The sequence below is a fragment of the Homo sapiens genome, chromosome 1 (assembly GCF_000001405.40).
Source record: "Homo sapiens chromosome 1, GRCh38.p14 Primary Assembly".
NCBI lineage: Eukaryota > Metazoa > Chordata > Mammalia > Primates > Hominidae > Homo > Homo sapiens.
Window position 1 is genome coordinate 242,552,975 of NC_000001.11, and position 2,363 is coordinate 242,555,337.

General features: G+C 42.1%; 1 long non-coding RNA gene across 2 annotated transcripts; it reads right to left on the reverse strand.

The window, feature by feature from the left end:
- Positions 1–383: 383 nt before the first annotated feature.
- Positions 384–2,019, reverse strand: LOC107985466 (uncharacterized). Of its 2 annotated transcripts, none has more exons than XR_001737832.3 (3): positions 1,448–2,019; positions 750–871; positions 384–536 (listed from the first exon to the last, which is right to left on the reverse strand). It is a non-coding gene; the product is annotated as an uncharacterized LOC107985466 (long non-coding RNA). The 2 variants fall into 2 exon arrangements; XR_001737833.1 differs by having other exon boundaries at positions 750–944; positions 1,448–1,532.
- Between the last annotated feature and the right edge of the window lie 344 nt (positions 2,020–2,363).

Consider the following 2,363-nt stretch of genomic DNA (forward strand, 5'->3'; position numbering starts at 1 on the left):
ATTATTTTACCCTGGTGATCTTTACTGAAAATGATCCTTTTTTGCCTTCAGATTTTTTTCCCCTTAAAGTTCTATTTTATCTTTTACCAAAATGTTAAGACTTGGGGATACAGATGTGGATCCTTGTGGAATTTACAGTCTGTCACATAAGGTGCCAAATATTAGGTCACTCAGTCCTCTTTGCAGTAAATATAGAAATCTTCCCCCTCAAAGAATAGAAAGAACTGAACAAAAATTAGTTACTCACATACTGATTTTTTACAACTATCTTTTTTTTTCTTTACACTCTTATGTCTGAGGTCCACAGGGAATTTCTCTACATTCCTAATGTTCAAATAGGTTTGTATTAAACAAGTTTTATTTTTTATTTAGTCTGCCAAACAACCTCTTCCTCTAAGAACTGCTCCTGCTTACACTAATGTGGCCACTGCAGTTGCTGTTGCTTTTCTTCCAAATGACTCTGCCATATGGAAGAATTGTTTTGATCAGTCATGGTCACTGGACCCTGGCATGTTCAGTCAATCAGGGTCTTTTACCTGGAACAGAAAGAAAAAAGCCAGTTTTCATAAAGTACCTGGGTTACAAGATGTAAAACTAGAATCTGATGGTGGCTGTTGCCCCATGGGTTCCTGAGAATTAGAAGAAGTCAGAATATGGAAAGAAAAAAAGAATGAAGGAGACAAACACGAAGGCAGAGAGAAAGGAGACAGAGAGCCGGTTTTATCCTCTGCTTCCTGAGGTCCACTCACTTTTGTCTTCGTAGGCCCTTTAACATTATTTTGTTCCATCTGCTTCCATAGCTGATATGCTTCTGTCACTCGAAACTTGTGGTACTTGTTAATGCTGTTCACCATGGAGTCCAGCTTCCTACCTGTTGGCCACATGAAAGGATTGCACATGCTGCTGTAGCCCCTTTTTGGTTGAGTGGCAGCATGTGACTGGCCCTAGACAACGTGTTGCAGTGAGTTACTAAGGTTGCAGGTGTCACTTCCAGAACAGAGCATTTTGTTGCCATCTCAAGGCCACCTAGAGCTCTCTCCCTCCACCATGCACAGGGACATCATTGGCAATGGTGGCTGCTCTCAGTCTGACTCCCAACAGGAGGAGATGATAGCAGACTCAAGAGAGGTGAGTAACATGAACAAGAACTAAACCCTTATTGCAATAAGCCACTGTGATTTTGAAGTAGTTTGCTAGTGTAGCATAAACTAACTTACTGTGATGGACATACAACCAAAACAGCTTTAACGAATAAAGCCAGCTAACAACTGAAATAAAGACATTAGTCTGAGGCCATTTGCAGCCCTATTTGAAAGCTTGAGACTGGCCTACGTGTCAGGATAAGATTGTGTGTTTCTGCCAATAACCATGAGGAACTCATGTTTGCAAAAATTTTGGCTTCATCTTAAATAAATAAAATCATACCTTTTAGAGAAAGAAATCATACCTTCTAAATGTGGTTTAAACATTTTTTAAATTTGGCTCCAGTTTGTCATAACAATGAGACAACGAAGTCTGCAAGAATAGATGAAATTGAATAGCTTAGCCAGCAAATCTCTGTGTCAGGGAAAGAAGATCTGTGGATGTGGCATTGTGATGTAATAAAAAACAAATATTTGGTCTTTGTTCCTGGTTCCTGACATAGAGCTCCTAAAACCCTTCCGGAGTGATGAGTATCTTCCACATGCTAATGAGTCGACTATAGCTGGGGCCCCTAGGTAGCGTCGTGATGGGAGCTGGTGGCCAGAAACACCGAGGTGTGATTAGAGGGTTGGAACTTTTAGCCCCACTCCTGACCTGTGGAGAGGGAAGAGGAGCTACAGATTGAGTTAGTCACCAATAAGCAATGACTTAGTCAGTCTTGCTATGTGATGAAACCTCCATAGAAACCTCTAAACTACAGGGTTCAGTGACTTCTGGGTTGGTGAATACACTGAGGTACTGGGAAGGTGCTGTGCCCCAAAGGGCGCAGAAGCTCCATGTCCCACCCCCACACCTTGCCCTATGCATCTCTTCCATTTGGATGTTGCTCCGTTGTATCCTTTCTAACAAACAGGTAATAGTGTCAGAAATGTTGTGGGTAGCAGCAGCTCAGATGACCACAAGCCCTCAGACCTTAGCAATTTCCCCACATCCTGGCTACTGGCTCTGAATTCCCAGGATGCATTATGAGTGGAATCCCGCTTATAATATAAAGGTGCCCACATGCGCACCTTTTCTTTGGTAGGAAGAAAAGAAATACAGATGAGGTGTGACATTGTGGGCACACCAATAATTAGAAGCAGGGAAGATTGGAAGGAATGTGCACACACACACACATACACACACACGGAAGAAGCCATGCAGATAAACTATGCAGACAC